The sequence below is a fragment of the Homo sapiens genome, chromosome 4 (genome assembly GCF_000001405.40).
Source record: "Homo sapiens chromosome 4, GRCh38.p14 Primary Assembly".
In the NCBI taxonomy this organism is placed as follows: domain Eukaryota; kingdom Metazoa; phylum Chordata; class Mammalia; order Primates; family Hominidae; genus Homo; species Homo sapiens.
The window spans coordinates 38,806,860-38,820,147 of record NC_000004.12 but is presented as its reverse complement, the minus strand read 5'-3'; the positions used below and the strand labels follow the sequence as shown (position 1 = coordinate 38,820,147).

At 44.4% G+C, this 13,288-nt stretch overlaps 1 long non-coding RNA gene across 1 annotated transcript, besides 5 other annotated features; it reads left to right on the top strand.

Annotated features, from left to right (window-relative positions):
• Positions 416 to 535: an enhancer, noted in NCBI's record as "active region_21452". NCBI's record gives its function as "activates an Ori minimal core promoter by ATAC-STARR-seq in GM12878 lymphoblastoid cells {active_cell/tissue: GM12878}" and the evidence as "EXISTENCE:reporter gene assay evidence [ECO:0000049][PMID:35858748]".
• Positions 1,581 to 1,690: an enhancer, noted in NCBI's record as "active region_21451". NCBI's record gives its function as "activates an Ori minimal core promoter by ATAC-STARR-seq in GM12878 lymphoblastoid cells {active_cell/tissue: GM12878}" and the evidence as "EXISTENCE:reporter gene assay evidence [ECO:0000049][PMID:35858748]".
• Positions 1,711 to 1,760: an enhancer, noted in NCBI's record as "active region_21450". NCBI's record gives its function as "activates an Ori minimal core promoter by ATAC-STARR-seq in GM12878 lymphoblastoid cells {active_cell/tissue: GM12878}" and the evidence as "EXISTENCE:reporter gene assay evidence [ECO:0000049][PMID:35858748]".
• LOC124900695 (uncharacterized) lies at positions 3,612 to 5,791 on the top strand. Its single transcript, XR_007058101.1, has 2 exons — positions 3,612 to 3,738; positions 5,656 to 5,791. It is a non-coding gene; the product is annotated as an uncharacterized LOC124900695 (long non-coding RNA).
• Positions 9,148 to 9,317: an enhancer, noted in NCBI's record as "experimental_80029 CRE fragment used in MPRA reporter constructs". NCBI's record gives its function as "activates a minimal promoter by MPRAs in K562 erythroleukemia cells, with activity observed for the non-introgressed 4:38812537 variant allele {active_cell/tissue: K562}" and the evidence as "EXISTENCE:reporter gene assay evidence [ECO:0000049][PMID:34662402]".
• Positions 10,710 to 10,879: an enhancer, noted in NCBI's record as "experimental_80021 CRE fragment used in MPRA reporter constructs". NCBI's record gives its function as "activates a minimal promoter by MPRAs in K562 erythroleukemia cells, with activity observed for the introgressed 4:38810975 variant allele {active_cell/tissue: K562}" and the evidence as "EXISTENCE:reporter gene assay evidence [ECO:0000049][PMID:34662402]".

Genomic DNA, 13,288 nt, shown 5'->3' with positions numbered 1-13,288 from the left:
GACATAAATGTTTGGAGGTTGGGTGGAGGACACTATTCAACCCAGTCCTCTGGAGTTGGCATGACCAGCTCTGATGCCCTGGAGACTCAGTTGAGTGTGGCAGCAGAAAAGAAATGTTATCCTGGAAAGAGTGAAGACTCTAAAAGAAGCTGCTTGGAAAGTCAGAGGTACAAAGAAAGGAGTAATAGGCAAAGAGAATAGAGTGGATGGGTGTAAGAGCACAGGAAAGAGACAGTGGATGGAGACCCGGGATATAAACGGTGAGAGTGTGGGAGTTTTAAAGAGAATGAGACCACAAATATGGGGAAAGGAGGAGGTATTTCTGTCTAGGTTTCTGGGGACTGGTTTGATTAGAAAGGAATGAGACTAAACTACAGGGAGTAAAAGACCTGAGGGGATTTCTAAAACCACAGGGACTTTCTGAGAGTTTCAATTACGGTTAGTTTATGAGGAATCTCAACATCATCTAGTCCAAATGTGAAGTAGTGTTTATTTTTCTCAGTCATTCCATCAACTGGATTCTGAAATTCCCCTCTTGTCACTCCTTAGTGATATCTTGAGCAGATTTAATACTTCTGCAGTCCTTTTGAGATACTGATACTCCAATCTAGTTTAAAATTCTAAATCTCCATCTTCATCTAAAACTCATCTTCTTTCTGCATGTCACAGGCTAGGTCTGTAGCTCAACCTTGGCATATATTTTGGAGGTAGGCATGGTTTATCTGAGATACACTCTTCTTGCCCCTCCCTCTCCCAGATCTAGCTCCCTGAAGTGGAGATCAAGGATGAGTGGTAAGAAGGCAGATATCCTTTTCTATAATTGTGTCGATTAAGGTACAGTCTAAGCTGCAGGACTGGGAGACCTCAAATACAGAGGCTTAAATAAGATTGAGGTTTATTTCTTTCTCATATAATAGAAAAAAGTATAGCTAAGAGGTCTAGAATAGGTAAGCTGTCTCTATTCCACAAAATCATTCAAGGGCTCAGGATGACCAGATGTCTCTGTTTCCTATAGCTCTGGTCTTATCCTATGGCCTCCATTCTCCCTTGCATGGAGCCACAGGAGCTGATGAAGCCCTCCTGTGCCTTTTTGTGTGTGTGTGGCCCATGGGATGCTGAGGTGGAGATACACCCCCTTTCCCAGGTACCTGATACCACAGTCTCTAATTGCCAGTTGGCAAGGGTTGGTCCAATGGAAATCTCCAACAGAGTAGACACCAGTCGCTCTACTAATTTACACTCCTGAACCCCCAGGGGGCACGTGTAATGTTCTCTAATACTGCTCAGATGGGCAGGGGGATCAACCTCAGAGGGTGATCCTACACATTGCTGCATCAAAACAAGAATCCTCTTGAGGAAAGAAATGCCTGATCTGCCTGTCCCGTGTCTAAGAGTAATTTTACTGTTATTTCCCCTTCACTTGGCTTGAGAAAGAGATGTCATCTCTTGCATAGGGAGAAGAGCTTGCAGGCTTACATCATTAACACTCATCTCCTGGTGCTGCTGACTCTCTTGTCACCCTCCCCAGCATTCTCAGGTGAATGGGGGAAGGTAGGGTGAGGCGATGCTGTGGACAGTGCTATCTGGTTCTACTGCTTCTTAGAATGCCCCGGGGGACATGCTTCAGTTGCTAGCAGCTTTGTATAGAATGTGGTACATAATACTTCTTTGTCTTCAGTTTTGGACCCAAGTCATAGGACAAGTTCCAGTCAACACCTTATTATGTAATCAGTACAACCAACAGATGAGAAGAGAAACCACATTGTTGATAGGCTATTGAATTATATGGCAGATGAGCAATCTAAAAAAAGTATCCTAAATTTGGGTTAAATAATTAATAAAAAAGACATTTCATCTATAGTAATAGAAAAAAAGGCAAAGAATAGTGGTATGGGTTTATGTCTATTGGTTCAAAAAGTCCACTTTATAGAATATATATTAAAAAAATAATTGTTCAGCCAGGCACAGTGGCTCATGCCTGTATTCCCAGCACTTTGGGAGGTCGAGGTGGGTGGATCACCTGAGGTCGGGAGTTCGAGACCAGCCCGACCAACATGGAGAAAACCTGTCTCTACTAAAAATACAAAATTAGCCGGGCGTGGTGGTGCGTGCCTGTAATCCTAGCTATTCAGGAAGCTGAGGCAGGAGAATCTCTTGAACCTGGGAGGTGGAGGTTGTGGTGAGCCGAGATCATGCCATTGCACTCCAGCTTGGGGAGCAAGAGCGAAACTCCATCTCAAAAAAAATAAATAAATAAAAATAAAAGTAATTGTTCATACACATCCCAAGGAAACATTGCTGCTTATTGCAGAATTGTTTCTAATTGTGAAAATTGGAAGCAATTTAAATGTCCAACAACAGAAGATTGGTAAAATGCATTATAAACTAAAATATTAAAAATTGCATTATAAATAAAAAGGAATATTATCCAGCCAATAATCATGAAATTGTAAATGGATAATTACTGACATGAAAAGATATTTATGATCGATTATAGGTTAAGAAAAGCATATTACAAACAGTATACGTAGTATGATGCTATGTGTGTGTGCATGCACTTGGGCATGTGTAAGTAGATAAATTGTTATAAATTTTCTGAACCACAATTTGCAGTAGGAGCCAAGAATCTAAAGAATGTTAACATATAGAGAAAAATGACTGCATGGTTGCTCTAAAAATGATATTGGTGTGATTCTATTTGGTGAGATTACTGCTTATTCAAATATTTTAAAATTTATTTATATTTCCTGATTTTCCTACAGTAAACATTTATTACTTGGATAATTGAAAATTAAAAAAACTAAAAAAATACATTTGCGAAGAACAGATACACGTATATCTATCTTATCTTGTTATGGAGAAAAACTTTCTAAATCTAAAACCAGGGTAGCCATGGTGTGCTGGAGCTTGCTTGCACAGATTTGTTAAATCTGATTCTAAAGTATTCAGGGCCAGGCACGGTGGCTTACACTTGTAATCCCACCACTTTGGGAGGCGAAGGCGGGTGGATCACTTGAGGTCAAGAGTTTGAGACTAGCCTGACCAACATGGTGAAACCCCATCTCTACTAAAAATACAAAATTAGCCAGGCATGGTGGCACATGCCTGCAATCCCAGCTACTAGGGAGGTTGAGGCAGGAAAATCACTTGAACCTGGGAGGCAAAGGTTGTAGTGAACTGTGATCATGACATTGCACTCCAGCCTGGGCAACAAGAGCGAAACTCCATTTCAAAAAATAAAATTAAATATAAATAAATACATAAATAAAAATAAAATATTCAAGAGCTTTGCCAAAAAATTAGTTGGTAGCTAGCCCTCAGCAATAGCGGGAATACTGACACTGCAGATATCAGCAAATGCTACAAATCAGACTTTTCTTTTGAAACTGCTTTACCAGCACACATCTGAAAGACAGTAATAGCAAAGAAAAGGGGAACTTACTTGTTTATATAAAAATGAATGTGGGGCCTGGTGAGAAGTAATTAGATCATGGGGGAGGAGTTCTCATGAATGGGTTGACATCATTGCCTTAGTGCTGTTCTCGTGATAGTGAGTGAATGAGTTATTGTAAGATCTGGTTGTTTAAAAGTATGTAGCACCTCCCCACACTCTCTCTTGCTTCTGTTCCTGCTGTGGAAGACACCTTGCTCCCCCTTTGCCTTCCATCATGATTGAAAGCTCTGTGAGGACTCTCCAGAAACAGAAGCCACTATGCTTTCTGTACAGCCTGTGGAACTGTGAGCCAATTAAATCCCTTTTCTTTATAAATTAGTTAGTCTCAGGTATTTCTTTATAGCAGTGCAAGAATGAACTAATACAGAAAATTGGTACTGAGGAAGGGGGCATTGCTATAAAAATGCCTGAAAATGTGGAAGCAGCTTCGGAATTGGGTAACAGGCAGGGGTTAGAAGAGTGTGGAGGGCTCAGAAATAGACAGGAAGATGAAGAAAAATTTGGAAATTCCTGGAGACTTGTTAAATTGTTTTGACCAAAATGCTGATAGTGACAGGGACAATGAAGTCCAGGCTGAGGAGGTCTCATATAGAAATGAGGAACTTACTAGGAACTGGAGCAAAGGTCACTTTTGTTAAGTGTTAGCAAAGAACTTGGAAACATTGAGTCCCTACCCTAGGAATCTGTGGAACTTTGAACTTGAGAGAGACCATTTAGGGTATCTGGCAGAATGAATTTCTAAGCAGCAAAGCGTTCAACTTGTGGCCTGGCAGCTTCTAACAACCTATACTCCTATGTGTGAGCAAAGAAATGACCTGAAACTTGAACTTATATTTAAAAGGAAAGCAGAGTGTAAAGGTTTGGAAAATTTGCATCCTGGCCATATGGTAGAAAAGAAAAGCCCATTTTCAGGAGAGGAATTAAGCAGGCTGCAGAAATTTTCATAACTAAAAGAAAGGCAAATGCTGATAGCCAAGAAATGGGGAGGTGGCTTCAAAGGCATTTCAGAGACCTTAGAGGCAGCCACTTCCATCACAAGCCTAAGGAGGCTTAGGAAGGAAGAATGGTTTCCTGGACCAGACCCAGGGACACTGCTCCTCACATCCCAGCCACTCTAGCTCCAACAATGGCTCAAAGTGGCCCAGGTACAGCTCAGGCCACTGCTTCGGAGAGTGTAAGCTATAAGCCTTGGCAGCTTCCACGTGGTGTTAAGCCTTCAGGTGTGCAGAGTGCAAGAGTTGAGGCTTGGAAACCTCCACCTAGATTTCAGAAGAAGTATGTAAAAGCCTGGATGTCCAGGCAGAAGCCTGCTGCAGGGCCAGAGCCCTCATGGAGAACCTCTACTAGGGCAGTGTGGAGGGGAAATGTGGGGTTGGAGCCACCACACAGAGTCCCCACTGTGGCACTGCCTAGATGAGCTGTCAGAAGAGGGCCACTGTCCTCAAGACCCCAGAATAGTAGACCCACTGGCAACTTGCACCTTGTGCCTGGAAAAGCTGCAGGCAGTCAACACCAGCTCTTGAGAGCAACTGTGGGGACTGAACCCTGCAAAGCCACAGAGGAGGAGCTGCCCAATGCTTTGGGAGCCCACCTCTTGCACCAGTGTACCTTGGATGTGAGGCATGGAGTCAAGGGAGATTATTTTGGAGCTTTAAGATTTAATGACTGCCCTGCTGGGTTTCAGACTAGCATGGGGCCTGTAGCCCCTTTCTTTTGGCTGATTTCTCCCTTTTGGAACAGTTGTATTTACCTAGTGCCTGTACCCTTGCTGTTTAAGAGTAACTAACTTGCTTATGGTTTTACAGGCTCATAGGTGGAAGGGACTTGCCTTGTCTCAGCTGAGACTTTGGACTTCTTTTGAATTAATGCTGGAATGAGATAAGACTTTGGGGGACTGTTGAGAAGGGATGATTGTATTTTGCAATATGAGAAGGACATGAAATTTGGAGGGGCTGGGGGTGGAATGATATAATTTGTATCTCTGTCCCCACTAAATCTCATGTCCAGTTATAATCCCCCATGTTGGAGGTGGGACCAAGTGGGAGGTGATTGGATGGGGGTAGAGTTCTCATGAGTGGGTTAGCATCATCTTCTTGGTGATGTTCTCATGTTAGTGAGTAAGTGAGTTATCATATTATGAGATCTGGTTGTTTGAACGCATGTAGCCCTTCCTCTCTCTCTCTCTCTTGTTCCTGCTCCAGCCATGTTCCTGCTCTCTTGTTCACTTTTCACCACGATTGTAAGTTTCCTGAGACCTCGCCAGAATCAGAAGCCACTGTGTTTCCTGTACAGCTTGCAGAACTGTGAGCCAATTAAACCTCATTCCTTTATAAATTACCTAGTCTCAGGTATTTTTTTCATCAGTGCAAGAATGGACTATTACACAATTAAATAGTAAAAAACAGAACCCTGAAAGAAAAATAGGTAAATGACATGAACAGGTAATTCACTAAAGAGATACATATTGCCAATAATAAAAAAAAAATAAAACAATAATGAGATGTCACTCTACATCTATAAAATTGACAGCTCTCTATAATGTTATTTTTGTGGAGGATGTGTAGAATGTCTACCCCAGCACACTCTTGGAGCGCAGGTAAAGTGGAACAAACTTTATGGAGAGCACTTGGTGCTATGTAACATGACAATGCTCATGTCCTTCAACCTAGTCATTCTTTCCCAGAAATTTATCCTAAAGCAATAGTAAAAGATTCAGACCACGACTGTGTACAAAGGTGCTTATAACATTTTGTGAAATGCAAAGGGCAAATCTCTGCTCAGACAGAGCTGAGGGTGGCTGGTCATGACCTAATATTTACTCAGGTACTGATATATCAGTGGCAATTTCAAAAATTTGACTGGAAAACTTTAGATCATTAAGGGAGAATTTATTAAAAGGTAAATGTAAATGTGATGACATTTCTCATTCCCAACACGTTTACAGGGTGCAGTTTTGAAGTTCTAGGATCAGGTGGGTAAGAGAAACTATAGGATTGTGTAGGGGCAGTAGGGAGGAAAAGAGGGAAAGGAAGATCACTATTCTGCACAATTGATGTGAGTGCTAACCTCACTGCAAGAAGCACCTCACAAATTATGACACTGTGCCCACAGCATTTGTTTCCTTCCTTATTGATTAAGAAACCATACTATCTACTCCTTCATGATAAAAACACCCAACAAGCTAGGAATAAAAGAGGACTTTCTCAACTGATAAAAAGCATCTATGGAAAAACTCACAGTTAACATTGTACTTAATGGTAAAACATATACTTAAAGCTTTTGCCCTAACATCAGCTACAAGATAAGGATGTCTGCTCCCACTACATTTTTTTGAAACTAGATCTCATTCTGTTACCCAGGCTGGAGAGCAGTAGTGTGATTATAACTCACTGCAGCCTTGACCTCCAGGCTCAAGCCATGCCCCGACCTCAGCCTCCCGGGTAGCTGGGACTTTAGGCACACATCACCATGCCTGGCTAATTTTGGTATTTTTTTTTTTTATTTTTGTAGAGACAGAGTCTCCCTATGTTGCATATGCTGATCTTGAACCCCTGGCCTCAAGTGATCCTTCTGCCACAGCCTCCCACAGTTCTGGGATTACAGGTGTGACCGACTGTGCCTGGCCCTGCTCTCACCACTCCTATTTAACATTTTACTGGAGGTACTAGCCAGGGCAATTAGGAGTTAAGAATCCATATTGGAAAGGAAGAAGTAAAACTGCCTCTATTTGCAGATGACATTATTTTCTTTATAGAAAATACTTAGAAATCTGCTTGTCTTAGTCAATTTGGGCTGCTATAAAAAGTGCTAGAAACTGAGTGGCTTATAAACAACATAAATGTATTTCTCATTGTTCTAGAGCCTGGAAGTCTGAGGTCAGAGTGTCAGCATGGTTGTCTTCTGGTGAGGGCCCTTCTCTGGGTTGTAGACTTCTGTCTTTTCTTATACTCTCACATGGCAGAAAAAGGACTAGTGAGCTCTTTGGGTCTTTTTATAAGGGCACTAATACGATTCATGAGGGCTCCACTCTCAAGACTCGATTACCTCCCAACTGATATTATCACATTGAGGGTTGGGACTTCAACATATAAATTTTGGAGGAGCACACACATTTAGTCTGTAACACCACTAAAAAACCATTAGAACTAATAAACAAGTTCAGCAAGATTGCAAGATACACATCACTATATAAAAATCTATGATATTTCTATACAGCAACAATGAACAAATCAAAAATTTGAAAAACAATGCATCAAAAGATACTTAGAAATAAACTGAACAAAAGAAATACAAAACATATACTCTGAAACTATATAAGACCATTGAAAAAATTAAAGACCAAAATCAATAAAAGACATCCCATGCCCATGAATCAGAAGACTTTTTTTTTTTTTTTTTTTTTTGAGACAGAGTCTTGTTCTGTTGCCCAGGCTGGAGTGCAATGGTGCAATCTCAGCTCACTGCAACCTCCACCTCCCGGGTTCAAGCAGTTCTCCTGCCTCAGCCTCACAAGTTAGCAAGGATGTAGAGAAATTAGAACTCTTAACTATTGCTGATGGGAATGTAAAATGATATCAAGACAAAAGTGGCTCTATCTTGGGTGCAAATCCACCATGTTGACTTCTGATTAGCCTCAGTCCCATGAATGCCTCCTGATTCCTACTTTATTTACTATCCTTAGTGTACTCACTATAGACAGTAGGAAGGGGTCTAAGCTGTTGATCAAGAATCAGGTTTTTCAAAGGCCCACTATTCTGGCATTGGGTTGCTGATCTATTTTTTCTTTGCCTACTCCAGCTGAGATCAGATCATACCACATTTGTTTCCTGATAATTCTAACCGGGCCTTTTAGGTATCCCTTTTTAAGTTCAGCAGAATTGGCTTCTCCCTTTGCCCAGGAAAGAATTCAAGCCAGAGGTAGAAGAAAACAGTTTTATTGAACAGGCAGTGTTATATCTCTGGTGGTATTATAGTTCCCTGACTGCTCCTGCAGAGCAGGGCTACCCCATAGACAGAGTAGCAACTCAGGGCAGTTTTGCAGTCATATTTATACCCACTTTTAATTGCATGCAGATTATGGGGCAGTTTATGCAGAAATTTCTAGGGAAGGGGTAGTAATCATTGGGTCATTGCCATGAAAAGGGGTGGTAATGTCTGGCTGTTGCCATGGCAATGGTAAATTGACGTGGCACGCTGGTGGGTGTGTCTGATTGAAAGCTGCTTTCACCCCAGCCCTGTTTTAGTGAGTCCTCAATCTGGTCCAGTGTCTGAGCCCCGCCCCTGGAGTCGAGTCCTGCCTCCTACCTCAAAGGCCTTAGAAACTTTAATTCAGTTGAGATAAATATACGGCTGGCACCACACCAACAACTCAGGACCACCGTAGAGGATGGTCCATTAACCACAGTGGCAAAGAAAGTCCAGCCAGACAAATTTCTACCAGAGCTGATAAAAGGCCAACAGCAAATATTATTTGGGACTCCCCAAGACCTTGAGGCAGAGGAGGGAACACTTGAATGGAAGTTTGACTGGCAATCTCCCCCAGGTTGGATAAGGTATTTTTTTTTTTGCTACAGAATAGGGAATTCCTTGGCAACTAAAGAGGTCTTCATTGATCCTGCTGGAGTCTGGACCAAGACGCTCCACATACCCATACACTGAACATGGCCCTTTTTAAAAGGCACTCTGGTGGCTGCTTGGTATGGTCCTTTGCTGCCCCTGTGACCTTACCCTCGCCCCTCAGGCAACCCGTTTGGTGTGCACCCTCAGCCCATAATCCTTGGGCTGCTTGCGTCATAACTAACAGAGATGAAGCTACCACAGCCATTTTGCTTGATGGGGAAGAACTGCCCTGCCAAGTACCTACTCGAGACTTGTATTTCCTCCCATAGTCTTCTGTTCCTGCTGCTGCTCTGCCCTGCAAAATGCCTCTTGGTTTGGATTCTGGAAAATATGGTGGCAAAGGCATGATTAATTCTGTGTCTCATACTTGACACAGGTATCATTGCCTGTTGTTTGTATTGTTGCTGCAGCCTCTGCTTACAAGTAGAAAAGAAACTGATGCAATGTGTCACCCACATCCCCAAAATGACTGCAGCAGCCCCCTGGCTCAGGACCCATCATGGAAGAGGTGGGCGCTTGAGGTTGTAAGAGCCGGATTAGAGGGGTGGAGTGTGGAGACAAAAGGGGCTCTATCTTGGAAGCTAATCCACCATGCTGACTTCTGATTAGCTCCAGTATCCTGAATGCCTCCTGATTCCTACTTTATTTCCTGTCCTTAGTGTAAGAACATGAACTCACTACAGATCCTGATTTTAGATCAAAGCAACATTGATGTTATCACACATATTATAGGCTATGGTGCACATAGCAGTCTCGCCTGTTCTGGAAGGTGGCCTTTAGCTGTCTCTATAGAGCATGTACTTCCTTTCCCTATATAAGGTGTCTATAAGTCCTGGGTCTGGATAGTAATCCTGCAGAGATCTACCTGTATTGCTCCTGTTTTGACCATGCTTCTGTGGGTAAGTTCCCCAAATAAATCACCCTTTACTGACAAACTGGATTTGTCTGCTTCGTTCTTTGGTTTCTCAGCTCCTAGGGCATTTGGGGGCTGCTTTTCCTATATGGCTGTTTCATAGAACAAATGGTACAGCTGCTTTCAGTCTGGCAGTTCCTCAAAAGGCCAAATGCAGAGTTACCATATGATGCAGCAATTCCACTCCTAGGTATATACCCAAGAGAAAATATGTCTACACAAAAACTTTTACGCGAATGTCAATGGCAGCATTATTCATAAGAGCCATAATATCCATCAACTGATAAATGGATAAATAAAATATGGTACACACATACACTTGAAAATCATTTGGCAATAAAAAAATTAAAAATGAAATATTGAGTGGACGAACCATGGAAACACTATACTAAGTGAAAGAAGCCAGTCACAAAGGGCCACTTTTTATATGATTGCATTTATGTGAAATATCCAGAATAGACAAATCTATAGAGACCAGTATGATCTATAGAGTAGATTGGTGGTTGCCTAGGGCTTGGATACGTGGAGAAGTGGAGGTGATAGCTAAGGGGTATAGTGTTTCTTTTTAGTGTAATGAAAATGTTCTAAATTGATTTGGTGATGGTTGCACCACTCTGTGAATATGCCTAGTCATTGAATTACACATTTTAAATGGGTGAAATTTTTTTATGGTTTGTGAATTATAACTCAATAGAGCTTTGTTAAAAAAAACAAGCAACAACTAATTACAGATCACATCTAATTGACAGCATATTTTTACTGCCCTGAATCCAAAAAGAAGTGCCCAGGTATGGGATAGGGGTGGGCGGAGAAACTGCTATGAAGAGATGTATGGGGTTGCTTAGAGTATAAAGTATGAAGTCTTTATTTTGAATTAACTCTGTGGGCTGCTGTTAACTGGACTTAGGCTTGTACTTCTTTGCATGGCTGTGATAATGCTATTCTAAACCTGCATTGTCCAATATGGTAGTCTCTGGCCAAACGTGATTGAGTGCCTAAAATGGTATAACCCAGTTGAGATATTCTGTAAGTGTAGAACACACAGTGGATTTTGAAGACTTAGAATGAAAAAATATAAAATACCTCATTAATAATGTTTTATATTCATTGCATGTTTGGATGTATTAGGCTAAATAAAATATTTTTAAAAATTTAAAAAGAAGCTGTATTCTCTGAGAATGGAAGTTTTCCCTGGGAAATGAGGCTGTGTCAACGCATGGTATACATGATTACAAGTGTGTGTGTTTTTTTTTTTTTTTTTGGCATTGTACATGGCAGAGACTGGAGCCCGGACTTAAACCTGGGCAGTGTGGCTCACAGTCTGTGATTTTAATAACTGCAAATCTTAATTTCAGTATCCTATTTTTCAGTTCTGGAATTTCCATATGATCCTTTTTTATAGTTTCTAGTTTTCTGCTGACATTCTTGTCATGTTATTCCCTGAATGCATTTTTTTAAATTAATTAATTTATTTATTTTTATTGATCATTCTTGGGTGTTTCTCGCAGAGGGGGATTTGGCAGGGTCATAGGACAATAGTGGAGGGAAGGTCAGCAGATAAACAAGTGAACAAAGGTCTCTGGTTTTCCTAGGCAGAGGACCCTGCAGCCTTCTGCAGTGTTTGTGTCCCTGGGTACTTGAGATTAGGGATTGGTGATGACTCTTAATGAGCATGCTGCCTTCAAGCATCTGTTTAACAAAGCACATCTTGCACCGCCCTTAATCCATTTAACCCTGAGTGGACACAGCACATGTTGCAGAGAGCACAGGGTTGGGTTGGGGGTAAGGTCACAGATCAACAGGATCCCAAGGCAGAAGAATTTTTCTTAGTACAGAACAAAATGAAAAGTCTCCCATGCCTACCTCTTTCTGCACACACATGGCAACCATCCGATTTCTCAATCTTTTCCCCACCTTTCCTCCCTTTCTATTCCACAAAACCGCCATTGTCATCATGGCCCGTTCTCAATGAGCTGTTGGGTACACCTCCCAGACGAGGAGGTGGCCAGGCAGAGGGGCTCCTCACTTCCCAGTAGGAGCAGCCGGGCAGAGGCGCCCCTCACCTCCCGGACCGGGCGGCTGGCCGGGTGGGGGGCTGACTCCCCCACCTCCCTCCTGGACGGGGCGGCTGGCCGGGTGGGGGGCTGACCCCCCCATCTCCCTCCCGGACGGGGCGGCTGGCCGGGCAGAGGGGCTCCTCACTTCCCAGTAGGGGCGGCTGGGCAGAGGCGCCCCTCACCTCCCGGACCGGGTGGCTGGCCAGGTCGGGGGCTGACTCCCCCACCTCCCTCCTGGACGGGGCGGCTGGCCGGGCGGGGGACTGACCCCCCCACCTCCCTCCCGGATGGGGTGGCTGGCCTGGCGGGGGCTGTCCCCCACCTCCCTCCCGGACGGGGTGGCTGCCGGGCGGAGACACTCCTCACTTCCCAGACGGGGTGGCTGCCTGGCGGAGGGGCTCCTCACTTCTCAGACAGGGCAGTTGCCAGGCAGAGGGTCTCCTCACTTCTCAGACGGCGCGGCCGGGCAGAGACGCTCCTCACCTCCCAGACGGGGTCGCGGCCGGGTAGAGGCGCTCCTCACATCCCAGATGGGGTGGCAGGGCAGAGGCGCTCCCCACATCTCAGACGATGGGCGGCCGGGCAGAGGCGCTCCTCACATCCCAGACGGGGCGGCGGGGCAGAGGTGCTCCCCACATCTCAGACGATGGGCGGCCGGGCAGAGACGCTCCTCACTTCCTAGATGGGATGGCGGCCGGGAAGAGGCGCTCCTCACTTCCTAGATGGGATGGCGGCCAGGCAGAGATGCTCCTCACTTTCCAGACTGGGCAGCCAGGCAGAGGGGCTCCTCACGTCCCAGACGATGGGCGGCCAGGCAGAGACGCTCCTCACTTCCCAGACGGGGTGGCGGCCGGGCAGAGGCTGCAATCTCGGCACTTTGGGAGGCCAAGGCAGGCAGCTGGGAGGTGGAGGTTGCAGCGAGCCGAGATCACGCCACTGCACTCCAGCCTGGGCAACATTGAGCACTGAGTGAACCAGACTCCGTCTGCAATCCCGGCACCTCAGGAGGCCGAGGCTGGCGGATCACTCGCGGTTAGGAGCTGGAAACCAGCCCAGCCAACACAGCGAAACCCCGTCTCCACCAAAAAAATACAAAAACCAGTCAGGCGTGGCGGCGTGCGCCTGCAATGGCAGGCACTCCGCAGGCTGAGGCAGAGAATCAGGCAGGGAGGTTGCAGTGAGCCGAGATGGCAGCAGTACAGTCCAGCTTCGGCTCGGCATCAGAGGGAGACCGTGGAGGTAGAG